Below are 26,823 nucleotides of genomic sequence, written 5' to 3'. Positions count from 1 at the left end.
ATGATGCTAAGAAACAAAACACGTGTTCTCTGCAGCTGCCTCCCACCCCCACACACCTGCCGCACCGTGTGGAGATAAAACTGAGAACTAGGTGCACTTTCTTCCTTTCAAAGTACAGCACCTAAACAGACGAGGGGGGGAAGAAGTGCTGAGAGACAAAGGCCTGCGGGTAGAGAATTCTCGAATATACAAATATGCACACAACTATACATACAGGGAGTCTTAAAAGATATATAAATAAGAATGTTTAAATTTGTACATATGTGTGTTTTCAGGAAAAATTACGTATTATATTTTCATATATTATAAATTTACATATTATATAATGTATTATAGTATTCTATTTTAGTGTAATATATATTCTATTTTAATATATTAATCTATTATCCTATTCTGTTTTTAAATATATTAAAATATATTTAATTTTTTAAGTAATGTCTGGGTTCTTCATATTGTTCAACAGCTTTTTGCTTTTTTGATTTGACAAACGATTAGGAAGCCACGTCTCTGTCAGTCCATGCAACTGTGGCTCCTTCTGATGGCCCTGGTCTCGCTGGCAGGACTCACACTGCAATCATTACAAAGCATCCTGATACAGATGGGCCACTGTTGACCATGACCATGATTGTCTTAGTGAGGAGTATTTAGTGTCTCCTTTTTCTTTTCTGTAACACATATCACTGAAACAGACTTTTTCTACATTTATGTCTAAGTACTTTGGGATTTTTTCGTTTGCTTGTTTTTTTGTTTTGTTTTGTTTGAGACAGAGTCTCGCTCTGTCACCCAGGCTAGAGTGCAGTGGTGCGATCTTGGCTCACTGCAACCTCCACCTCCCAGGTTCAAGCGATTCTCCTGCCTCAGCCTCCTGAGTAGCTGGGATTACAGGCGTGCGCCACCCCGCCTGGCTAATTTTTGTATTTTTAATAGAGACAGGGCTTCACCATGTTGGTTAGGCTGGTCGTGAACTCCTGACCTCGTGATCTGCCCACCTCAGCCTCCCAAAGTGCTGAGATTACAGGTGTGATCCACCGCGCCCAGCCTGTTTTATTTTTTATTTCTGTAAATTTCAGAGGTACAGATGTAGTTTTGTTCATGGGTAGAGTACATAGTGGTGAGGGCTGGTCTTTTAGTGTAACCATCACCTGAGGAGTGTTCATTTTACCCATTAAGTAATTTCTCATCCCTCACCTTCTCCCACCCTTCCACGTCTCCATTCTCTATCCCACCACACTCGACATCCACATGCAGACATTATTTAGCAATTTAGCACCCACTTATGAGTGAGAACATGCGATGTTTGACTTTCCACGTGTGAGTTGTTTCACTTAAAATAATGGCCTTCTTTTCCATCCATGTTGCTGCAAAAGACATGATTTCATTCTTTTTTATGACTAAATAGTATTCCATTGCGTATATGTACCACATTTTGTTTACCCAATCACCTGTTGATGGACACTTAGGTTGATTCCATGACTTTGCAATTGTGAATAGTGCTGCAGTAAGCTTCCAAGTGCGGGTATCTTTTTGAGACAACGATTTCTTTTCCTTTGGGCAATGCCCAGCAGTGGGATTGCTGCATCGAATATAGTTCCATTTAGTTCTTTGAGAAATTTCCGTACTGTTTTTCATGGAGGTTGTACTAATTTACATTCCCACCACCTTTCTCCACATCCTCACCAACATCTGTTATTTTTTTGACTTTTTAGTAATAGCCATTCTGACTGATGTAAGGTGATATCTCATTGTGGTTTTCATTTGTATTTATCTGATGATTAGCGATCTTGAGCATTTTTTATATGCTGTTTGGCCATCTGTATGTCTTCTTTTGAAAAATGTCTACTTATGTCCTCTGGTCAATTTTTAATGGGGTTATTTGTTTTGTTGTTGTTGTTGAGTTGTTCGAGTTCCTTGTAAATTCTAGATATTACTCCCCTGTCAGTTGCATAGTTTGCAAATATGTTCTCCCATTCTGCAGGTTGTCTGTTCATTCTGTTGATGATTTCTTATGCTGGTCTTAAAGCCTTTTTGTGTGTGTGTGTGTGTGTGTGTGTGTGTGTGTGATGGAGTCTCACTCTGTCGCCCAGGCTGGAGTGCAGTGACGCCATCTTGGCTCACTGCAACCTCCGCCTCCCGGGTTCATGCAATTCTCCTGCCTCAGCCTCCCAAGCAGCTGGGATTACAGGCGTACACCACCACACCTGGCTAATTTTTTTTGTATTTTTAGTAGAGACAGGGTTTCACTATGTTGGCCAGACTGGTCTCGAACTCCTGACCTAGTGATCCACCTGCCTCAGCCTCCCAAAGTGCTGGGATTACAGGTGTGAGCCACTGCACCCAGCCCTTAAAAGACTTTCGAAGTCTTTCGCTAGACCCATGTCCTAAAGAGTTTTCTCTAGGATTTATTCTAGTATTTTCATTGTTTCAGGTCTTTCATCACTTAAGTCTTTAATCTCTTAGTTGATTTTTGTATATGGTGAGACATAGGGGTCCAGTTTCATTCTTTTGCTTATGACGAACTAATTTTCCCGGTATCATTTATTGAAAAGAGTGTCTTTTCCCCACAAAGTTTTTGTTGACTTTGCATGTGGCTTTATTTCTGGGTTTTCTATTCTGTTCCGTTAATCTGTGTGTCTATGTTTATACCAGTACCATGCTATTTTAGTTACTATCTCCTTGTGATATAATTGAAGTCAGGTAATGTGATGCTTCTAGTTCTAGCTTTGTTCCTTTTGCTTAAAATTGCTTTGGCTATTCAGGCTCTTTGTTGGTTCCATGTTAACTTTAGGATTGTTTTTTCTAATTCTGTGAAAAATGACGTTGGTTTTTTGATAGAGATTGCATTGAATCTGTAGATTGCTTTGGGTGATATGTTCATTTTGATGATATTAATTCTTCTGATTCATGAGCATGTGATGTTTTTCCATTTGTTTGCGTCATCTACAATTTGTTATTACTGTGCACTTTTGAAAGTAATTCTGTAGAATTACTTTCAAAATTTTTAATTTTGAAATTTTAAAGTTGGCTTTAAATGTTGCCAGTTGACTTTCCAGAAGATTATGCCAGTTATGCTCCCTCCTACAATTATAAGTGTCCACCCCCAGCCAAACCCAGATGTGATTGATTTCTTTCATTTTTGTTAGTTCATTAGACAAAAGTGTTGTCCTATTTAAATATGTGTATGCTTACTCCTTAGAGAGATTGGGCATCTTTTCATGCCTATGGTAGCTATCAGAATTCCTTCCTTTGAGTATTTTGCTCTTTTCTCATTGATCTCTGGGAGCTTTCGGGCAATAGAGAGTTTAACCTCTCATCTGTTATGTATGATGCAGATTTTTTTTCCCCACGAGGGATTTATCCTTTTGTTTTTCTTAATGATAAACTTGAAATGGGATCAATCTCACAGCAGTCATGCTTTTGAACACAGATCTTACAGAGATCAGAAAAATCTTAATGGAAGGGAATTACTCCTTTCGTACTATGCCTTGCTGTGGACAGGAGAAACGTTGCCCAAATGTCCTTGGAGAGCAGAGCACGTGCACAGCACACATGCAGTTATGCAGCTGTGGGCACAGGGGTGGGACCTGTCGAACCTAGAGACCAGAAGCTAAGGATACAGGATTCATGTTCACTGACAATTCCATCCTGAGGTCATTGGTGCCTTCTTAACTGAGTCTGGAGTGGGTAGGGGTGGAGGAGTGTGGTCAAGAATATAGAGTAAATTCAGAAGTTGGCAAACTAACAGATGCCATCAATGATAATCCTGAAGTTTTTGTTCTGGGTATTTTTGCCATTTAAAAATCAAACCATTAGCACAAGCCAAAAGAATGTAGTTTCATCTGGTTCAGCATTTCTACATGTCTGTTTTACCTTTTCCTCCACCACAGGCATACGCCACGTGCACACACACACACACACACACACACACGGACTTGCACACACATACCACATGCACACACACACTATCACTTCACCCCAGGGTCACCCAGCTTTCGTGGCATCTGAACTCTGCCCCTGTCACCTACAGACTCTCCTGGCGTCCCCCCGAGTGCAAACGCTCATCACCTGTTTAGAGGATTCAGCTTTGTGGCCTCAAGCCTGATCCAGGAGCCCTCACAGCAAGATCTGCACAAAGTCCCAGTTCACCCAATCGTGCAGGTAACTGTGTTTGCCTGCAGTGGGTTGGGGGTAAGAGGGCACTTGGATGATGGGTGACTCTGGTGTTCCCTGTGGCCTCAGTCACCCGGGGGTTGGGTGCTTAGGATGGGTGGACTTTAATCACCAATTCTTCCCTCACACTTCCCATTGTTCTGAGTGTCTGCCATGGTGGTCCCTCGTGGTTATCCCCCATGGCGGTCCCCATGATGATCTCACGTGGTGCTCCTTCATGTGGTTCCTGTGATGGTCTCACATTGTGGGCCCCCATGGTGGTCTCCAGTGGTGGTCCCTGTGACGGTCCCCATGGATACTCCCATGGTGGCCTCCTGTGGTGGTCCCTGTGGTGGTCCCCATGGTGGTGTCCTGTGGTGGTCCCCATGGTGTTCCCTGGGGTGGTCCCTTGTGGTGGTCCCTGTGGTGGTCCCTGTGGTGGTCCCCATGGTGGTCTCCCAGGGTGGTCCCTGGGGTGGTCCCTGTGGTGGTCTCCCATGGATATTCCCCATGGTGGCCTCCTGTGTTGGTCCTCATGGTGGTCCCTTGGGTGGTCCCCTGTGGTGGTCCCCATGGTGTTCCCTGGGGTGGTCCCTCTGGTGGTCCCCATGGTGGTCTCCCAGGGTGGTCCCTGGGGTGGTAGCCATGGTGGTCCTCATGGTGGTTCCTGTGGTGGTCCCCATGGTGGTCCCTGTGGTGGTCCCTGTGGTGATCTCCTGTGGTGGTCCCTGTCGTGGTCCCCATGCTGGTGCCTAGGGTGGCCTCCCATGGTGGTCCCTGTGGTGGTCCCCCTGGTGGTCCCTATGGTGGTCCCCGTGGTGGTTCCCTGGTGGTACCCGTGATGGTCTCCTATGGTGGTCCCTGTGGTGGTTCCCGTGGTGGTTCCTGTGGTGGTCCCTAGGGTAGCCTCCCATGGTGATCCCTGTTGTGGTGGTCCCCATGGTGGTCTCCCTGGTGGTCCCTGTGGTGGTTCCCATGGTGGTCCCTGTGTTGGTCTCCATGTTGGTCCCCATGGTGGTTCCCCGGTGGTACCCATGATGGTCTCCTACGGTGGTCCCTGTGGTGGTTCCCATGGTGGCTCCTGTGGTGGTCCCTTAGGTGACATCCATGGTGGTTCCCATGGCGGTCCCTGTGGTGGTCTCCATGGTGGTCCCTGTAGTGGTTCCTGTGGTGGTCCCTGTGGTAGTCTGTCATGGTGGTTCCCATGGTGGTCCTCGTGGTTGTCCCATGGTGGTCCGCGTGGTGGTTCCCATGGTGGTCCTCGTGGTTGTCCCGTGGTGGTCCCTGTGGTGGTTCCCATGGTGGTCCCCGTGGTGGCTCCCATGGTGGTCCCTGTAATGGTCTCCGTGGTGGTATTCCATGGTGTTCTGAGCCCTTGCTCCTACCCTACTTGGCATTCGTCTTAAAGAGGGAAGGTAAAGCCCTGGGAAGAATGTCACCATGGTGTCTATGGCCAGAGACTGGAGCATCTTCACTGTGTGGAGCCCAGCCAGGACCCTAGGGTAGCAGTTTAATTTGTGGGCATCATTTTCCCATGATGAAATGGAATCTTTGGGAGGTCTTTGGAAGGTGGTATTTTCATAATGAGTTTCCCACCTAATAAATGTAACCAGAATACAGAGAATTCTAAGGGGTTAAACTTAATTCTAATTATGATTAAACTTATTTAAGAATGAAATCCGGGTAAGTTGAATGGCATTGGATTTCCATCCTATTTCCTTCCCTGGCCTTTGGAGAAATACAGGTGTGTAAAGTAGACGTTGTCATGACAGTGCAGGCTGCCATGGTGGCTTTCTGTCTTAGTTAAGAGCGGGTGGGTGGGGCTGCTGCATGCAGGTCAGAGCAGGCTGTGACTTGGACACCATGGAGTCAGATTTCCGATGAGATGTTTCCATCCAGAGTCTTGCTCTGCACACAGGCATTGGAGCCACGCACCCAGCAGCTGCCAGCACTTCCTTTTCACTTTCACATTCTCCTGCTCTCAGATCTTTGCGAGAAACATACCAGCCAGTGGACACAGAACGGCCTGGTGTCTCAAAGTTAAGAGTCATAGCCCAAGGAATCAGAGAAGCTGGCATTTAGGTCAAGAACATCACTAAGTAGCTCTGCAGCCTTGGGCAGGGGGACCCATGAGCTCCCAGGCCTCCACACACTCAGTTCACAGTCGGTGCCTCTCTTCGCCCCACATTCTGTGTGCGTGTAGCTGCACCGTCCCCTCGTGTGAGGGTTCCGACAACTCTTCTTCTCTTGGTCCCTCTGCAGCAGTTACACGGGAACAACATCCACTTCACCGATGGCTACGAGATCAAGGAGGACATCGGGGTGGGCTCCTACTCAGTGTGCAAGCGATGTGTGCATAAAGCCACAGACACCGAGTATGCCGTGAAGGTAAGGCAGGCCTGCTGAGTGAGCAGGGCCCTGTGTGAGTGCAGCGCGTGGGAGCACGTGTGGTATGTGGGAGCACGGAGCATAGGAGCATAGCAGGGCCCTGTGTGAGTGCAGCGTGTGGGAGCATGTACAGCACATGGGAGCACGGAGCATAGGAGCACAGCATATGTGCTCACGTGCTCAGCTGTGCAGTGACTCCAGCAGGGACACCTGAGCCTGAGTGAACATTCTCTCCATTTGCCATTTTCCAAGCTCTGATATGATGGAGTTCAGTTTGCTTTGATATGAGGTCACCCATTAAAAGGTAGTTTTGCAAATCATGAATATTTTCAGTCATATGTACCACGCAGGGACTGAGCACCTTTCGTAGCTTGGTGTATGACATACACCAAGAGCAAAAGTTTTGGGCCCCCAGTATTTTGAGAAAACAGAGTTGGGGGACAGGTATAGAATTTGGCAAGGAAAGGAAGGAAAGAAAAAAGGGAGGAAGAAAATACTCAAAGAAATAAATAAGCTTGTATTACTTACAACAAACTTTGGCAGAGAGCTAATGGTTTTACTCCCAACCGTCAAGAACAGTATAGAGAAACAATTCTTTGTAACCCAATTTGGCAATCTCTACATAGTAACTTTAGCTTTCGTAATTGTTGCTGCTTAAATATTTGATCTGGGAATCCAGAATACCAGTTTCTAGAGATTTTTGGTTAGTAAAATGTGGATTAAAGGTAAAGCTTCCTGCTAAAATCAGAATGAAATTTATGTTAAAAAAAGATACATTGTACATCCTCTCCAAAAGACAGCAAGAGACACTTGAAACTCTGCCCCTTTCCAGTGGAGCCAAACCCCAGGCTGTCGCAGAGCGAGGTCCCAGCCTGTGTTGCCATCATGACCAGGACCCTCCCGGCTTATTCCCAGACACGTCTGTAGCACACGGTGCTACGCTTGCCCTTCAAAGAACATCTGCCCAGCCAGCAAGTCGTGTAAAAAGAGTAATTTTCATCAACTGTGATTCTCCTACACTCTGAAGAGATTGTTCAAAATAATGACAATGTTGAGATGACCCAGTTCCATCCTCATTTGCCCAGAGCTCCACTGACATTTTGTGAAAACAGGTATTTCAAAAGGGTAGATCCTCAAGCATGGCCTGGGATCCTCAAGCATATTCACTGGGAACGTCTACCGTGTTTCTTGCACTGGGAAAACGCTTTGCTGTCATAGAAGACGCCAGCCGAAAAAAAATCTCAGGTCCCTTGATTTTGTTTGGGTCAAGAATTTATGGATTATTGACAAATTTATCTTGAATTTCTCAAACAAAAAAAGAAAGTTTAAATATGGAGAAATAATCAATTTGTGATTTGCTCTGATACCATCTCTGTGTTTAGTCTGCCCAGAGTCTTGAACACATCCAGGAAGGGTGAATGGAAGGAAATAGATCATGATTTACAGTTCCTGGAACTGTAATTGGGTGGAGACTGCAGCGAGGGTTACTGTCATGGTAGAATGTCCACCCGTGGTGTGAAGGGCAGGAGAAAACCAAGTTTTGTTATGAAGTGGTTGCCTCTGCAGCCTGGGGCGCGTAGGCTTCATGCGTTTCTAGGATTTGGATTGTTGAGATTGGTTTGTCCTGCTCCTCCATCCCATTGGGAGAGTTTTTTAAAGGAGCACTTAGATGGGCGCCTACCATCTGCATACCCAGGTGCCGTTCCTGTGTCCAGATGTTCCAGTGGTGAAGAGCAGACCTGTATTCTGCCTTAGACAAGAGAATTTCACTTGTACTTTGAAACGTATTTCACATGTGCTTCGTAAGCCTACATAGGCTCCTTGGAATTTTTTTCTGCCTGAGTCATTGCTCACAGGATTTCTTTAGATTATTTACCAGGTGACAGACAGCAATCCCAGAAACAATCACTGCTTCCCAGTGAGCTCAAAGAAACAAGCCTACGGTTTGGTCAGCCCAGCAGCCGCGGTGCCCTTCCAGAAACAGCCTGCGGATCAGCCCCCATTTTGTGCCTCTGCAAGTAAATCCCCCAGTGACGAGGCGATGGTGTGTTTTCTCCTAATATTCCCATATCCAGCTCTTATATGGACACTGTCTGAATTCAGCTTTGTTACACAGCTTAAACTCAGTCCGTCAGTCCTCAAAGATCTTGTTGAGGTCAAACTCTGTGGAATTTCAGCAACAGCTCTCGGGGAGAGAAGCCAGGCACTGTGGCTCTGGCCGATGGTAGAAGAAAGAGCCCGGTCTTCCTGTTTCTCTTTCACAAACCCTGAAGTTCCCTGGACAAAGTTGGCCAGCAGACATGGCAGGGATTTCCCTTGTCCCTTCTGAGACTACAGTGGGTAATAATGTGTAGTCTGGAAGATGCATAAATTAACCGAGCACGGGAAGGTGCAGCCCCATGAACGGCCCGGGACTTTTTAGAGAGATGTGGCTCGTGGTCCAGAAGGCTCCTGTGACCAGAGCCACTTCAGAAGCACGTTTCAGCCGGTCAAGGGAGCGGTGACAACAAGTTCAATTATCTGCAGGTAGACACGGTTGTTTGGATTTCCTTCCAAGATGGACGAATTGGCATTTCTGTGCAACGAGCTTGTTATTTAGAATGGGTCCACTTGTTACCAAAACTGCTTTGACCCAGTGCAGAGCACTGTGCGGTTTTGTTTTCAGCATTTCCAGGTGGAATGTAGTTGAAATACTTTTGGCCTTTGTCTGTATCTGCTGACTTGTTCATGAGAAGCAGCATCCCCACCTATTGATGGACTAAGAAACAGCAAAGTTCGGTGACTTCTAACATGACCCAGAACTAAGCATGTGGCAGCTGATTATCTGATGTGTGAGTTGGATCTCAGCTCAGCAGATGTCCAGCCGAGATTGTCACTAGAATCCGGCTTTACCACTCCCAGTTGCCGCTTGAGCCGTATACGATCCCACCTACCCCTGGCTCATGGATACAAACGGGGTCTGCTTCAGAAGCAGTCCCGTCACAGCCAGACAGGGCATCCTCCCATTCAATGGCAGGGATGACCCAGAAATGTCCCCACCGAGTAATGACAGAAAGAGAAATGCAGCAATCTTTAGTAAGCAATGAGGAGAGTGACCAGAATCGATGGATTCTGCCCAGGGCAGTCATATTCATTTGGGGTAACTGTGGCCCCCAGGGGACACTGGCAATGTCTGGAGACTTTCTGGTTTTTCCAGCTGGGACAGGGGCTCCTGGCATTGGTGAATACGGGTCAGGGAAGCTGGTTAGCATCCTGTGTGCACAGGACAGCCCCCACAACCTGCTGCCCCAACGAAAGGTTGAGAAGCCCAGCCTCAGCATCCTTGTGGGTGAGAGCAGGTCTCATGTAGATAAAGGCCAGGAGGTTGATATTTTGGAGATGGGGATGGAGTTTTTCTTCTTCATTGAGTTTCTGGTGAGTCCTTTAGCAACAGGATGATGACCGACCAACAGCTCAGTGTTCCCCACGTGCTGCGGGCAGCCCCCCACCCCCACCCCACTGTGACTGGGCCGTGACTTAAAGTGCAGGTCCTTCTAAGAGGAGAGTGGGGCCAGCTCTTCACCTCTATGACGGTCAGGTATGGAGGTTCATAGTGAGTATGGAATCATAGTACTTCTCACATTCTTAGAATATCATTATATTTTGCTTTAAGTTATTTCTGCATTTTTGCAGGTTTCTAATTTTGCCACCATAATTACCCTGAATAACGTAAACTACATTTAAGGTTCTACTGAAACCAGTTTACCTGAGTAAATCAAACGACAAGATTGTTCACTTTGCATTTATTTTCAGCTGCATTTTTAACTTGAGTCCCTGCTATATGCTGGGTACTCTGCCAAAGGTTGTGGGAAGTGACAGCTAGAATCGGTCCTAAAATTAGGACTAAAATTAAGACCAATTCTAGCTATCGCAGTCTCCAACACAGTGCCCAGCTTAGAGCAGGGGCTCAATTCACGTGGGCTGAATGACAACCTGGATTCCCAGGCTTGTCCCTCCCTCTCGACTTCGGCAAACAACACTAGAACGTCCAAGATCCTTCACTGGGGCAGTCCGGCCTCGGGCGGGAAGACACCGACCCTCTTCCTTCTCACGCGCACGGCACTGTTTCAGGCTGGACTTGATGCAGCGCATTCTGCCGGTGCCCCCAGCCAGTGCTCTGATGGTTGAATGAGAAAAGCTATTATGTTCCCTCAGCGCTTCCTCTTCCTTTTATCAGACACATTGTAGGTGAACAGATGTGCCCTACTTTCTAATAACTACAAGCCATTTTATTGGGACAAAACAGCTAAGTAATCTAATGGAAAACTAAAGTCCGCCTTTGTTTTTATAACCAACCCAGGGAGACTAGTGGTGGGCGATGAAGTTGTATAGGGCTTCAAAATAGCATGACGGATGGCTGCATTGCTGTCCGCACATTAGGGCACCCTTCATTTAAAATAAGATTAAAATAGAAGTGACTATTAAGTGTTGGAGGTAATCGTGATCCAGGAGGATTAAAAGGAAGGGGAGAGGTGTATTTGAAAGAAAAAATAATATTCCTATTCCATCAAAGATGCTGTATTCACTTTATAAGAATTGAGAGAGGGAATTATTTGTTTTTATTTTATTCTTAGGACTTTGTTGCTTAACATAATTAGGTACATATTCTAGATAGTGCTGATTTGTATAAATGGAAGGATTCCTGGCATTATATTGGTGGGGGAATATGTAAATATATACAGTTGGCCCTTGAACAACACGGGGTTGAATTGTGAGGATCCACGTATGCAGATTTTTTTCAGTAAATATACTGGAAAATTTTTTAGAGATTTGTTACAATTTGAAGAAACTCACAGACAAACCACATAGCCTAGAAATATTTAAAAAGTTAAGAAAATGGTATGTCAGGATGCATAAAATATACATAGATGCTAGTCTATTTTATCATTTTCTACTATAAAATATACACAGATTTATTATACAAACTTAAAATGTATCAAAATTTATGTGCTCAAGCATAGACCATACGTGGCGCCATTTGCAGTTGAGATAAATGTAAACAAACATAGATTCAGCATTAAATCATAGCTGCAGCAAATTAACTGTGGCGAATATGGCACTACCGTAAGAATTTCACAGCAGCCTTCCATTGCTGCTGTAGTAAGCTCAGGTGTTGGAAGGATCCGCTTTAAACGTCCTGTGACACTCCTCGTCTCCATGTGAGGAGTCTGTCTCTCCAGGGAATTGGGAATAGCAGTAAAAAATGGTATCTTGTGGTTCTCACATATTTTTCACCGTGTTTAGTGCAGTTCCATAAACCTTGAATAACACCATAGAACCACTAAGAAGTCCCGTGCCACTAGGGACGCTGTGAGTGCTCCCAAGAGGCAGAGAAAAGTCATCACATGACCAAAAAAAACAAAAGTTGAATTGCATGATACGTACCCCAGGTTGAGGTCTGCAGCTGTGAGTGCCCCCCTTTTCAGACAGACGATCCATCTTGTGAACAGATGGCATAAACTCACTATATCCATAAATACAGTCCCATACACTAAATGTATTTTCTCTTCCTTATGATTTGCTTAGTAACATTTTCTTTCCTCTAGATCGTATTATTACAGAATTATATACTGTATTCTTAATACAGTATATAATTGTATAATTATTCTTAATACAGTATATAATTATACAAATACAAAATATGTGTTAATGGACCGTTTATGTTACTGGTAAAGCTTTAAGTCAACAGTGGGACATTAGTTAGGTTTTGGCGAAGTCAAAAGTTATATGTGCATTTTCAACTTCTTGAGGGGTCGGTACCTCTAACCCCCATGTTGTTCAAGGGTCAACTGTCTACACATATCATAGCTAATTCACTACAGAAATGTTAGCTTGTGTCACTAGTATCTCCCCTTCTCATAAGCTTAATACACATACCTTGAGAGAGCTCTTGGCCATCTCTACTAATGACTGAAGTTTTTATTTATTATAGATGTCATAATAGGCATAAAACTACATTACATCATTCGAGTGCCAATTTTGCCACCTTGACCCTCTTTTGCAAAACACCAACGTCAGTACACATATGAAGAGGAAACTGCCCGAGAACTGAAGTTCCTGAGACCAGGAGCTGCAGGCGTTAGATAGAATATGGTGACGAGAGTTACGAGGATGACGAGAGTAAATACTTCATACTCAGTACGTGCCAAGCACTGCTATAAGCGCTCTGTATGTGTGAAGTCATTTAATCCTCACAGCATCCCACGGTGTAATTATTTTCATTATCCCCATGAGGGAACAGAAACTCAGAACGGTTCAACACATATGCGAGAAGTCGCAGCCGGTCAGTGAGAGAGCAGGTTCCCGTCCAAGCAGTCAGACCCCGAGTGCACACTCTCGACCCCTGTCCAGCAGACTCACTCGTCATAAGGCGGGGAGCCCCAGTGTTCTGTTTCAGCCAGATGCTCTATGCATCTCAGAGTACCCAAACCATGAAAGAATGAGGCAGTATTCAGAGCAGATGGGGCTGGGCAGTAAGGCTGGGCTTCAGAATAGCTGGAAAGCTCAAGTCATGGGACCTGCAAGAAAAATCCATTGTTTGATAAATAGCCAAAGTCCCTAGGCTGTAAGGGGAAGGTGTGCCAGGTGCAAGTGGAGCTCTATGTAAAATCGCACCTGAGTCTCCTGGTCTTATGAGTCTGGGTGTACCCCAGTGAAAGGTCCTGCTGCCACCAAGTGGGCCATGGTTCAGCTGTGTAAGTGCTGAGCGGCAGCCGGACCGCTTCCTCTAACTTCACCTCCAAAGGCACAGTGCACCTGGTTCCTCCAGCACTCAGCTGCGAGGCCCCTAGCCAGGGTCCCGGCCCCCGGCCCCCGGCAGCTGCTCCAGCTTCCTTCCCCACAGCATTCAGGATGGTCTGCGTTCATGTAGACCTCTGTTTTCAGTCTGTGCTCCGAGGTCACTGGCAGCACTAGCCCCGGCTCCTGTGGATCACAGCCTGCTCGTCCTCAGGGCAGCACCTGGGCTTGTTGCAGAAGCTACATCTTGAAAGAGCCCATGGCCTAACGCTGGGCGCTGCAGTGAGCCGCACGGGGCCGGAGAAGGAGAGGACTCAGGGGAGCTTGTGTTCAAGTTCACTCCAGAGGATCCAGTGCCAGGTCCTGCAAAGAATTCTAAGCCATTGAGAAAGCAGTGGATGGTTTCACCATGGGGCTTCCCAGTATCACGTGGGGTGTTAGCTGCACCCGTCTTGGGGAACAGAGGTGGCTGTGCAGCTGAGTCAAACCACTGTGGCCAAACCTGGGAAGAGAGAGGTCCAGGCCAGTCCTGTCTTTAGGGATCAAAATGCATTTTTCATAGAAATCATGTGAAAATTTGAAGCAAAGAGAAACAGCAGTTGAGAGTTGAGCTATGTGAAGGAGCAACATGAACCATCTCAAGAACAGCAGTGGTGCAGAGACAGGCAGAGGCTGTAGATGCCTTCACAGCCACAGTGGAAACAGAGAAAGGAGCGTTCACAGGCACAGAGGCCGGGACTAGGAGCAGTTAAATAAAATAGAAAATAGAAAAGAAAGAAAGCAACATTTAGATGGACAAGGAAGGAGACGGGGCAGCTTTGGTAACAGATTGCATGACTGAGGAAAACGGTGGCATAAATTTCTCTTCCACCAGAAGAGAGAGACTCGAAGACGGGAAAATGACTGTATCGCCTGCCAGAATAGATGCTCTGTCCAGCCTGTGTCTCTGCACAGGCATTCTCTAATCAAAGAAGCTCCTCAGTGGAATTGGTTGGGCATTTGTATCTCCTCGAAACACACACTGGGAAGCTGCCTTTCTGGATGATTTAACCCTTTGCCCGTTTTCCCCAAGAATACTCACCGGCGGCACTTGCGGCTGCAGCGTTTGCCCCGAGATAACTTTGCCGCGAAATATCTCACTTTTATTATTATTTTTGCACCGCTCTAGTATACCAACTTTGGAAACAAAGGACATCATTCTATCGATAGCATTCTGTTTTTAGTAGTGGCATTTCCATTTACAAAATATAGTCATAATCGATTGCTGATAATGTCAAATCCTAGAAAACGTAGCATTCCTACATGGGATGTTAACTTCGTTCTCAAACAGTTGTTGGCCAAAGATTCATTTGATGAATCCAATTTTTCCAAAATAGACAATTCTGATGATTCAGATGATTCTGATATTAGTTCTGTTTAGAAATAACTCCAGTAACAGTTTTTAAATTTTATTTTCACATGGAAAATCAGATTTGTTTCAGCCTTAATGAACATGTTTATGTAAAATCAAATGAGCGCTGGCAGCGAGCTGCACTTTTGCTTTTTCGAAACGAGAAAGGCTTAATGTGATTGGCTTATGGTTTTGTTTCTCGTATGCTCAGCCCCTCCCAGCAGGCATGCGGCGGAGGACGGTCATCAGCAATAAGATGTAGCATGTGCCTTCTGCCCACTACCGGGTCCCCGAGCCCATCTCACAGGCTCCCACCCACCAGCCAAAACTTGGCTCTCAACTCTCCCACTGCAAACCTCTCCCCGGTCTTTCAACACAGGCTAGTTTCCTATTGTTTAGGAATGCAACACATTACCCCACATCTAGTGGCTTAAAACAACCTGAGCTTATTGTCTTCCAGCTCTGGATGTCAGAATTCTGAAATCTGTCTCACTGGGCTAAAGTCCAGTGTCCCCAAGGCTGGTTCCTTCCGCGGGCTCTGGGGGCTGAGAGTGGATACACAGCAGATGGTGGCCAGGCTGGGTGCCCGACAGAAGTCTGACCCACACCTGCAGCCAGCCCCTTTATCTACAATACATAGCTCGGGAGGCCAGCAGCTGTGTCAGGCTTGCAGGAAGCCAGATTGCTATCTCTAGTGACAGCCCAGGAAGCTGAACTATAAATTCTGTGACAGTCAGCCCCACATGGCCAGGACTTGATGAATGACTGACAGCTTCCTAAGTTCTGTCCCTGCTTCCAAGTCAGGACCAACCAGAGAACACAAATATGCACCCAAAGCCCACAGGATGCCCTGATTTTAGTTCCCCGCCTCCATCTTTTGCAGCCAGCAGCCCCCCTCACCCACATCATCTTCCCTATGGCACGTTCCCCCTGCATGGGTTGTTCACTGTCTGTGTGCACGGCCCTGTGAGGGCAGCCACTCCAGGGCAACAAAGGCTTTGCTTTTGCTATAGTTCCAGCACCTCAACAAAGTCGGGCACATGGCAGGAGCTCACTCAATTTCAGCACACAATGAAGGGGCTCCTTATCTTCATTTAGCATAAATATTTGGTAGTGAAAGGCTAAGTGTTGATTAAAAGAAAAATATATGGCCGGGCACGGTGGCTCATGCCTGTAATCCCAGCACATTGAAAGGCCAAGGCAGTTGGATCACCTGAGGTCAGGAGTTCGAGACCAGCCTGGCCAACATGGCGAAGCCCCGTCTCTACTAAAAATACAAAAATTAGCCAGGCATGGTGGCGCGTGCCTGTAATCCGAACTACTCAGGAGGCTGAGGCAGGAGAATCATCTGAACCTGGGAGGCAGAAGTTGCAGTGAGCCGAGATTGTGCCATGCACTCCAGCCTGGGCGACAGAGAGAGACTCCATCTCAAATAATTAATTAATTAATTAATTAAAAATAAAGACAAGAAAAAATATGAATCAGGAGCTTTCCTTCAAATTCAAATTTTTAAAATCGGGGTTTATAATATAATTCTTCAACAGAGCACTTCGTGCCTTTGGAATCCATTTCTTTCTGCAGCAATCCCCTTGTTCAGGAAGCTGGTTACTTTTTTCATTCATTGAGAATTTTTTTTTTTTAATTGGACGCTTTTACTGCAACAGACGCAGGGCAAGGTGAGAACACAAACCTGCTCCAGGGAGCTCACAGCTTAGCCATTTAGGAATTGTGTCAATGACAGAACCAGAAACTATACCAAAAAGTGGAGTGCATCTCCGGAATCTGAAATTAAATGAGCTTTACAGTTGGTTTGGCTCTTTCTCTTGGCCTGTTGTATCTTCAAACACATGGTACCAATATACGTGCCTGTTCACTGACTGTTGCACTTGTAAATTTCCCTTCAATTGTCTGAAAGCTCGTGCAGGAGAAGAAGACCGCACAAGCTCAGTGGGGCTGGGTTTTCCTAGAAAGAAGCACATGAGTTAAGATGCAGCTACTCTCCCTTTTCGGTAGCAAATTTTTGTTGTTATGGTATTGAAAGTACCTTAGTTTGCTTTAGCAACAGAATCTGATAAGAAATAAAGTGAGATCCTTAGAACTGTGCAAGAATATGTGTCACCCAGCTGTTAACTGTAGTGACGCGGCGTGACCACGCAGGCCTGGAGCGCGGGCCAGCCTTCCTGAGGAGGCTCCAGTCTGTACTCACGTGAGACCGTTGAAAAGAACGTGGTGTTTCTGTGCCCATCTTCACACTGTGTGTGTAATTTGCCAACCAAAAAAAGAAACGGAATTAAGACAGATGTTCGGCATGAATAGAGCTTATTTTTAGAAGGAGAACTGATGAGCTTGGAAATTTTAACTTTTTCTACCAGGATAAAACAGGAGTTCTTTCTCTCTGTCATTAGTTTAAATTAATTTTACAGGAGAAGGTGTCTGTTAAATTTTACAAATGATTACATGCTCTCCTACCTTTGTGTCAAATACGATACTGATCCTTTCGGCAACTCAAGGGAAATGGCCTGCCTAGTGGGAGTGTTCTGCAAGCCTGTGAGCTCATGCCACTGCCCGCGTAGTTACTGCCTCAAAGCCATCTGCTCAGGTTGCTGAGTGTCCCGGGAGACGGTGTCTCCACTGATGGAGAGAGACAAGAAAGACAGGGAAGGTAGAGAAACGCAAAGACCAGAAAGGTGTATCGAGAGCGGTGAAGTCTCCTGTTGCCGCCTTCGGCCAGCAGGAGGAAAGGTGTTATCAAGAGCAGCGAAGTCTCCTGTTGTCGCCTTCGGCCAGCAGGAATGGCAGTGTTTGTTTGGCACATGGCTGCATGTGTCCGTGCTCAGGAAGATCATGGTGGTGTGCCATCCATGTTGAACCCAGAATTGCTTCGTGGATATTCAGACCCCTAGACTCAGCATCTCTAAGGAAGGTGGAAATATTCAGCCTGCTCGGTGGCAACACCATGGAAAGTTTATTTACCGGCTGTGGTGGGTGGCCAACCCCTGGAGAATGCCCTTCTCTGGAGGTTGTAGGAGTCCTTTCTAACCAGCTGTTGCCAGATGAGAAAAAGAAAGCTGAGCGAGCTTGTCCCCCGCCCCACGACACCACTCCTACTCCGTGGCGCGTCAGCATTATTTGAGCGTCAGCCTGGAGGGGAGGCCTTGTTCATCACCACGCTTGCTGAGAAGGCCTCCCTGTTTTGTTGCATAATAAAGATTATAAAACAATATTATTCTCAGAATGAGGAACGCCGTCCACCAGAGCTTGCTCTAATAAGAGTAAGACCAACACGGTCAACCCCAAGAAACCGACCCCATAGAGAAGAAGTGCGCTGGCAGGCACTTGGGGCCCACTCCCTGGTGCTCCTAAACAGTGTGTCCAAACCCCGGCTGCCCGCAGCAGATCCAGGTCATGTACTCCAGGACTGTAGCCACACCTCACTGCCCACTCCTGCGTTAGCACTCTCCAGCCTTACCTTGCTCAAATAGCTCACCCTCCATGCAAAAATAAAAACAAAAGCAAAAAAAAAAAATTTTTTTTTCAGAAAAAGTTACAGGGAAAAGCAGCCAGCACTTCCTGACAGCATCCGGGACGGAAACGCTGGGTCAGAACTGCCTTGCCACTTCATCTCAGAGCCTTGGCTTGATTTGGATTAATTCTCCCGGGTCAGGGGAAGGCGGGAGCCCAGGAGGGTCGTGTGAGAACCTATTCCCGCCACGACTCCCTTCCAGGATGTGCCCTATAATCCCAGCTACTCGGGAGGCTGAGGCAGGAGAGACCCCAGTCTGTGGGACTTCCCTTCCAGGACGGGGAGCGCCATTTCCCATGCAAACCCACCCTCCTCGCTGCCCTGTGCCTCAGAGGCTGGGAGGCCAGGAGGCAAGGAAGCCAGGAGGCTGACTGTTAGGGACCACTTCCATGCCTCTGGCTCCTGGGCAGTTCTGCTAGTGCGAGACAGACACCACAGGACAAGAGTGGGAAGAGAAGTGTCGGGCCGAGGCCTTTCTGCCCACAGCCCCTGTCAGGGCGCACCTCCCCACCCCATGCAGCCCCTTCTGGTCCTGTGACTGACCCTGCGCAGCTCTTTGGCATTGAGAGCCAGGACTGCCCCCAAGGCATTACACTGTGCCTTGCTGGCCGGCCAGTGACCCTCCAGCCACTCTACTCCTTTGCAAACGATCCTTTAATTAAGGCCTCTGGGTTGACCCAGTTGGTGTGACATCTGAGGTTTTTTTTTTTTTTTTTTTCTGGGGCTTTAACTGAAACACGCTCTACTGCTGACATTAGTTTTAAACATCACACTGCTTCATGGCACGGACTCGCAGTGAGGATTCAGACAGGACCGAAAGCAGCATTTCAGGGCTGTAAACGTGGCAGGTCACAGCTGCTTAGTCCCTTGCCTGGCGGTGTCAGGGTAATTCTATTTTATCTCTGTAATAGGAATAACTCACTTGTACCAAGTGCTTTCTGTGTACCAGGGAGAGTATGAAGGGATCGATTCATATTAATTTGTTGAATCTTAACAGTGAGCCAGAGGAGTGCCTGGTGTTTTCTAGTTTTACAGATGAAGAAAGCTAGGTGTAGAGAGGCCCAGGGAGCTCCTGCAACCCCACAGGGAGTGGACAGGGAGGCCAGGTCTCAGCTGGGGCTCAGACTGGCTCAGCGGCTGGGCCGCCAACCACGCAGCACGTGGCCTCCCCAGGAGCAACGCCTTCCTCCACCTTTCCAGCCCTCCACGGGAGCTGAGCCTGCAGACACCCACATTCAAGTACCAGCAAGTGACATGGCCACAGGCCAAGCCACCCACACCCACAGCAGTGTTGTCGCCTGAGACAGCAAACGTGACTTCCCCTCAGGAGCAAACCAGATGTTTGCTGAAAGACCGCTGGCTCTACCCTGTGGTGAGAAACAGCAGCACTCGTGGGCCCCTTGGAGTCTCCTCCAGATGAGCTCCTGTCCCCACAGGACCTCAGCCTGGGAGCTTCTTTCATTTTCCTCCATTTCCCCAAATGCCACCTCAGCGAACAGCTGGTGTGTGGTGTTTGGTTGTTGACAGAGGTGCTTTGGGGGTTCCACCAAGCAATTACATGATTTTGAAAGGCGTAACTAATATGTTGAAAATGTAATGAAAGTCAACATGCATGCTTAAATGTGTATCAGATTCTAGCAAATGACCAGGACACTGGCTCCGATGGGTTGAAATCCAGTGTGCCTCACATGTGCACATACATGCTAGCTTTTATTACAATTTAAGATAGTTTTTAAAGTAAGCAAGAGTTTAAGGTAATCTGTCTTTGAAAACTGTTTACAAATACTTATCATTGTAAGTCAGAATTTTTCTGAAGACTCACAACAAAAGAACACATAGAAATAAAATAGATACTAGGGTTGAGAGGGCAGCCATCTGTAGTCCCAGATTCTTTAAAATAATAGTCACGTTGTCCTGCAATTTCAGCTTACAAAATAGTAAGCTGAAATTTTGGAATTCTTTATTTCATATTTTGAATAGACAATATATTCTTGTGGTTCAAAATTTTTAAAAATTCATGTGGATACAGCAAAGTTTCCCTCCCACCCATGGGCCCCCAGGCACCCTGTTCCCCTCCTCACAGGAAGGCAAGGCAATTAAATGTTTCCTCCTTCCTTCCAGGGTTATTTTATGCACCCACAAGGAAATGGATGCGTCTATCTGCATTCTTCTCTCCATTTTTAAAACAAGGGATGGCGTAGGATGCACCTGCTCGCGTCGGCCTTTTTTACTCCTTGTATCTTGAAGATGGTCCGTGGCGGTGGAGAAAAAGCTCCCACTTTCTTGTTTACTCTGCATCTTGTTCCACTGTGAGAGTGATAAAACAGATTCATGCTAAGAACACATCCCTTTATCATGAAATCATATTTGCGAAAAAATCTTCTACTGAATTCTTTTATAAATTTATAAATGTATTTTAACCTTCTCTAATTGCAAAGACAGGATCCCGGCCCCGATAGACGGGATGCCCACAGGCAGACAGGAGCAGAGGAGTTTGGGTACCTGACAGCCAGCTTCCCTACAAGCAGTGCAGGACCAGCCTCCCAGGACCTGCTTAGGCTGTGGCATGTTAGGGAAAGTCCCCCACCCCTCCTTGAATGATCGTTTTAAAAGTCTCTACTTGAGAATGATGCATTTATGTTGGCAATAGAATTAGTCCTAGTGTCCTAGCTAAAACTTCAGTAGAATTAAATGCAGCAGAAGGAGAGAAATTCTATGTCCAGAAAGGGACCCTAACTCTTCTGCCTGTTTACAACGCAGGCTATTAGGACTCACAGATCATGGGCCACTGATGCAGTCACAGCTGAATGGTGGCCGTGGCAGAGCATCCTTTGAAACTATAATGGGGTGAGAACTGGCACTATGGTGAGTTTTTATAACGGTGACGGGGAGTGGACGAAGGGTGACCAGGGGACAGATTATGAGCAGTGAGTCAAATGCTACCCAAGCGTTTGGTTCTCTAAAGTAAAGAAATAGCCAGGTGTAGTTGCTCATGCCTGTAATCTCAGCACTTTGGGAGGCTGAGGCAGGAGGATCACTTGAAGCCAGGAGTTAGAGACCAGCCTGGGCAACACAGCAAGACCCCATCATCTCTACAAAGAATTTAAAAATTAGCTGAGTAGGGTGGCACACACCTCTGTAGTCCTAGTTATTCTGGAGGCTGAGGCAGGAGGATCACTTGAGCCCAGGGGTTTGATGTTGCAGTGAACTATGCTTGTACCACTGTATTCCAACCTAGGCAACAGAGTGAGACCCTGTCTCCAAAAAAAATTAACGAAATAGAGTTTTATGCAAAGCTCTGCCTAGAGACTTTGACATGATAGAAGTTAAAAGCAAGTCACCCTCATATTCTAGTAGTAAAATGACTGCACGGTCTCCAAATAGAGACTATTTTAAAATTAGGTTGAACTAATGTGAGAATAGTACAAATCATGGTTAGGAAGGTGTTTCCAATCGCTTTTCTTCTGCTCTGAGTGTTGTTTGCAAAATACATGTTGCATGTTGCCAATTTCCCATGAGTGTGGTGCCCTCCTCCCACTGGTCCCGTCCCCACAGCAGGGGCGGCAAGGGCGGGACTTAGGCACCTCCAGAGGGATTAGCCACCAGGGACCAACAGCGACTTCCTGTTTCCAAGGTAGGCTTAAATCCCAACACCCTGTCCTCAGAAACCATATGTCTCCATGGGGTTGAAGCAACTTTATCTGTTATCCTAAGACATCGGATACAGATGCTGGGCGGGGGAGGGGAGCTTGCATATGTCTAAACAGCAAGGCAGGTCTGGCCTGCGCACCATCCCCAGCATCTCTTGGTGAGAGCCATGCGCCTCACCTCATTTTGTGGCTGGTTTGTAATTCCCGGAACAAGGCAGAAGGTGCACAGTGGCTGGAGGCTTGTTGTGGATGGTGCCCACTGCGAGGGTGGGACACAGTCTGTTATTTGGTGGCACTTGCATGAGCTCCCTACACGTGTCTCCACCCAACCTTATAACACCTTAAAATTCATGTCTGAAGTCTTGTACTCCTTTTTTTTTTTTTTTTTTGAGACAGAGTCTCGCTCTGTCACCCAGGCTGGAGTGCAGTGGCATTATCTCAGCTCCCTGCAACCTCTGCCTCCCAGGTTCAAGTGATTCTCATGCCTCAGCCTCCTGAGTAGCTGGGATTACAGGCACACACCACCATGTCTGGCTAATATTTGTATTTTTAGTAGAGACCAGGTTTTGTCATGTTAGCCAAGCTGGCTGGTCTTAAACTCCTGACCTCAAGCCACCTGCCCACCCCGGCCTCCCAAAGTGCTGGGATTACAGGCATGAGCCACCTTGCCCAGCCTGTACTCCTCTTTGTAGATGTAAATCTTACACTAGTTGTCAAAGAAAGGACTTGCCATGAATCTCCAGACAATCTCAGGTTATCTCTTGGTCGGGTGTGAGATTGTAGTGATTGGGCCACCTGGGGCCAGACTTTATCCAAACTCAATGGTCCACCAGCAGATACCACCCGAAAGCCTAAAGTAGACCCCTCACTGCCATGTGCTGTGTTTGTTCCAGATCATTGATAAGAGCAAGAGAGACCCCTCGGAAGAGATTGAGATCCTCCTGCGGTACGGCCAGCACCCGAACATCATCACCCTCAAGGATGTGAGTGGTCCCCGTGCAACAGCATCTCCACTTCCTTCTGTTTCTTCAACTGACACAAAACTCCCATTCACTCAGAGCAAGCTTTCTCACATCTCATGCCTGTCTCAGCTGGTTTCCACCACCCACATATCTCAGTCACTTGGAGCTGACTTGCTGGACTGTGTACTCAAGTCTTTTTGACAGCCACCGCCCCAGTCATGGAGGGAGCAAGTAAAACAGAGGAAGAGAGAGCTTGTGTGAATTACAGTCCACAGGCGGAGTCTCTCATAGAGGCCCATGGGGGTGCAGGGTTTGGGATCCGGGAGCACAGACAGGAGACAATTTTCCTCCTCACGCTCCAACTCCAAACTGATTCTAGCATTATGAACCTAGAGTCACAGGATATTGGGCCTACCTCAGTTTCCCTCATGCATAGTGACTGCTGCGTGCAAACGGTCTTAACATGCAAGCTTGGCATAAGAATAGCCCGAACAGGCCGGGTGCGGTGGCTCACACCTGTAATCCCAGCACTTTGGGAGGCGTAGGCAGGCAGATCACTTGAGGTCTCCTGAAGGCAGATCACTTTGAGACCAGCCTGGTCAACATGGTGAAACCCCATCTCTACTAAAAATACAAAATTAGCCGGGTGTGGTGGCGCACACCTGTAATCCCAGCTACTCCGGAGGCTGAGGCAGGAGAATTGCTTGAACCTGGGAGGTGGAGGTTGCACTGAACCGAGATTACACCATTGCACTCCAGCCTGGGCAACTGAGAGAGACTCCATCTCAAAAAATCGAAACATAAAAAGAATAATCAGAGCATATTGTTTTTATTTAGTTTATGAGATAAAAGCCAGTATGGAGAAAACTATCTTTTTCTATTGCTTCTCTGAAGCAACAGCACGGCTCTGATATGTAACTTCGCCCTGGACTCTGCCTAGCCTCTCTGTGCTCCCAGCGCCTGGCCACTCAGTGCTGTCCATGCGGTAGCAGCACAGACATCATGGGAAACTGGTTAGAAATGCGGAGGGCCAGGCCCCACCTCAGTCTGCAGGACCAGAACATGCATTTTAGCAAGATCCCCAAGATTGGATTGGATGCACGTTACAGTTTGAAAAGCACTGCCTTGAGGCCCTGCTCTTGCAAGGTGGTTTGCCAACATTTGCATTTCTTAACGTCTAAATATCTCCTGGCAGGCCAGGCACTATGGCTCACGCCTGTAATCCCAGCACTTTGGGAGGCTGAGGCAGGCGGATCACTTGAGGCCAGGAGTTTGAGTCCAGCTTGGCCAACATGGTGAAACCCTGTCTCTACTAAAAATACAAAAATTAGCTGGGCATGGTGACGTGCACCTATAATCCCAGCTACTCGGGAGGCTAAGGCAGGAGAATCGCTTGAACCCAGGAGGAGCTGGAGGTTGCAGTGAGCTGAGATGGCGCCACTGCACTTCAGCCTGGGTGACAGAGCGAGACTCCATCTCAAAAAATAATAATAATAAATAAATAACAAATATCTCCTGGCAGAGTCATGAAGCCATTCATCTCAGCTAAGGACACGCCCATCTTGTATGTCCTTACTCAGTCCCTGCTTAGCAGCAGATTATTAAAGCCGTTTTCTTCCTAAAAAGAGCACATATGGTATGACAGGAATGGCCATTTGCTTCTACCCTGCAGAAGCCTTGTTTGCACTCCCATAGGACCCTGTGGTCCCAGCCTCTCCCCTCTGACTTCCCTCTCCTGTCCCCTCTGGAGTAGTTGCTCTTTCACAGCAACCAGCCGTGGTGACGTGTGCGCCCCTTCTCCACTCCGCAGGTCTATGATGATGGCAAGTTTGTGTACCTGGTAATGGAGCTGATGCGTGGTGGGGAGCTCCTGGACCGCATCCTCCGGCAGAGATACTTCTCGGAGCGCGAAGCCAGTGACGTCCTGTGCACCATCACCAAGACCATGGACTACCTCCATTCCCAGGGGGTAGGAGCCATGCCTGGGGCAGCCTTCGGGGAGGAGGGAGCTTCAGGGCAGGAACCAAAACCACAAGGGTTTATGGGTTCAAGAGCTGAGAACGCGGATTGTCCTGGAATTCCTTCCGTGCCACCATCGTCTCTCTTGTGTCTGGAGGCTCAGTGACGGTGCAAGGGAAGAAAAATTCTCTTCCCAGCCGGGTGCAGTGGCTCACACCTGTAATCCCAGCACTTTGAGAGGCCAAGGCGGGCAGATCACGAGGTCAGGAGTTCGCGACCAGCCTAGCCAACATGGTGAAACCCTGTCTCTACTAAAAATAACAACAACAAAAAAAAAATTAGCTGGGCATGATGGCACACACCTGCAATCCTAGCTACTCGGGAGGCTGAGGCAGGAGAATTATTTCAACCCAGGAGGCGGAGGTTGCAGTGAGCTGAGATAGCACCATTGCACTCCAGCCTGCGTGACAGGACGAGACTCCATCTCAAAAAAAAAAAAAGAAAAGAAAAATTCTTTTTTCCCTCTGCCCATCTTAGTTCTTCGGTGGAGGCCCTATAAACAAGACTGGCCAAAGACAGGTTAACAAGAGAAAAACAGAAGTTTATTAACATGTGCATCTCACATACACACGGGAGCACCCAGCCATGAATAACTCCAAGGAGTTGTTAGAACTTGAGCTTATATAGCATTTTAACAAAAGAACAATAATTTTGCTGGATGCAGTGGCTCATACGTGTAATCCCAGCACTTTGGGAGGCTGATGCAGGTGGATCACCTGAGGTCAAGAATTTGAGACCAGCCTGGCCAACATGGCAAAACCCCATCTCTACTGAAAATACAAAAATTAGCCAGGCTTGGTGGCACACACCTGTAATCCCAGCTACTCAGGAGACAGAGGCATGAGAATCGCTTCAACCTGGGAGGCAGAGGTTGCAATGAGCCAAGATCACGCCACTGCACTTCAGCGTGGGCGACAGAGCAAAACTCTGTCTCAAATTTAAAAATTTTTTTTTAATTTTATTATTATTATACTTTAAGTTTTAGGTACATGTGCACAATGTGCAGGTTAGTTACATATGTATACATGTGCCATGCTGGTGTGCTGCACCCATTAACTCGTCATTTAGCATTAGGTATATCTCCTAATGCTATCCCTCCCCCCCTCCCCCCACCCCACAACAGTCCCCAGAGTATGATGTTTCCCTTCCTGTGTCCATGTGTTCTCATTGTTCAATTCCCACGTATGAGTGAGAACATGCAGTGTTTGGTTTTTTGTCCTTGCGACGGTTTACTGAGAATGATGATCTCCAATTTCATCCATGTCCCTACAAAGGACATGAACTCATCATTTTTTATGGCTGCATAGTATTCCATGGTGTACATGTGCCACATTTTCTTAATCCAGTCTATCATTGTTGAACATTTGGGTTGGTTCCAAGTCTTTGCTATTGTGAATAGTGCCACAATAAACATACGTGTGCATGTGTCTTTATAGCAGCATGATTTATAGTCCTTTGGGTATATACCCAGTAATGGGATGGCTGGGTCAAATGGTATTTCTAGTTCTAGATCCCTGAGGAATCGCCACACTGACTTCCACAATGGTTGAACTAGTTTACAGTCCCACCAACAGTGTAAAAGTGTTCCTATTTCTCCACATCCTCTCCAGCACCTGTTGTTTCCTAACTTTTTAATGAAAAGTGGTTTTGATTTGTGGTTTTGATTTGCATTTCTCTGATGGCCAGTGATGGTGAGCATTTTTTCATGTGTTTTTTGGCTGCATAAATGTCTTCTTTTGAGAAGTGTCTGTTCATGTCCTTCGCCCACTTTTTGATGGGGTTGTTTTTTTTTTTCTTGTAAATTTGTTTGAGTTCATTGTAGATTCTGGATATTAGCCCTTTGTCAGATGAGTAGGTTGCGAAAATTTTCTCCCATTTTGTAGGTTGCCTGTTCACTCTGATGGTAGTTTCTTTTGCTGTGCAGAAGCTCTTTAGTTTAATTAGATCCCATTTGTCAATTTTGGCTTT

At 46.8% G+C, this 26,823-nt stretch overlaps 1 protein-coding gene across 9 annotated transcripts in view, besides 2 other annotated features; it reads left to right on the top strand.

Moving 5' to 3' along the window:
• RPS6KA2 (ribosomal protein S6 kinase A2) overlaps positions 1-26,823 on the top strand; it is a 453,410-nt gene that overhangs the window by 407,516 nt on the left and 19,071 nt on the right. For all 9 annotated transcript variants that reach the window (XM_047419235.1, NM_001318937.2, NM_001006932.3 and 6 more), the window contains 4 exons: positions 4,025-4,155; positions 6,409-6,534; positions 22,768-22,857; positions 24,647-24,805. In XM_047419235.1, the coding sequence (XP_047275191.1) occupies positions 4,025-4,155; positions 6,409-6,534; positions 22,768-22,857; positions 24,647-24,805 (506 nt within the window). The remainder of the gene's footprint in view (positions 1-4,024; positions 4,156-6,408; positions 6,535-22,767; positions 22,858-24,646; positions 24,806-26,823) is intronic.
• Positions 5,038-5,704: an enhancer, noted in NCBI's record as "H3K27ac-H3K4me1 hESC enhancer chr6:166863042-166863708 (GRCh37/hg19 assembly coordinates)". NCBI's record gives its function as "activates a minimal SCP1, AML or CMV promoter by ChIP-STARR-seq in naive H9 embryonic stem cells {active_cell/tissue: H9 hESC(naive)}" and the evidence as "EXISTENCE:reporter gene assay evidence [ECO:0000049][PMID:30033119]".
• Positions 19,434-19,935: an enhancer, noted in NCBI's record as "H3K4me1 hESC enhancer chr6:166848811-166849312 (GRCh37/hg19 assembly coordinates)". NCBI's record gives its function as "activates a minimal SCP1, AML or CMV promoter by ChIP-STARR-seq in primed H9 embryonic stem cells {active_cell/tissue: H9 hESC(primed)}" and the evidence as "EXISTENCE:reporter gene assay evidence [ECO:0000049][PMID:30033119]".

Source organism: Homo sapiens, chromosome 6 (genome assembly GCF_000001405.40).
Source record: "Homo sapiens chromosome 6, GRCh38.p14 Primary Assembly".
NCBI classification, from domain to species: domain Eukaryota; kingdom Metazoa; phylum Chordata; class Mammalia; order Primates; family Hominidae; genus Homo; species Homo sapiens.
This window is presented reverse-complemented; position numbering and strand designations above follow the sequence as displayed.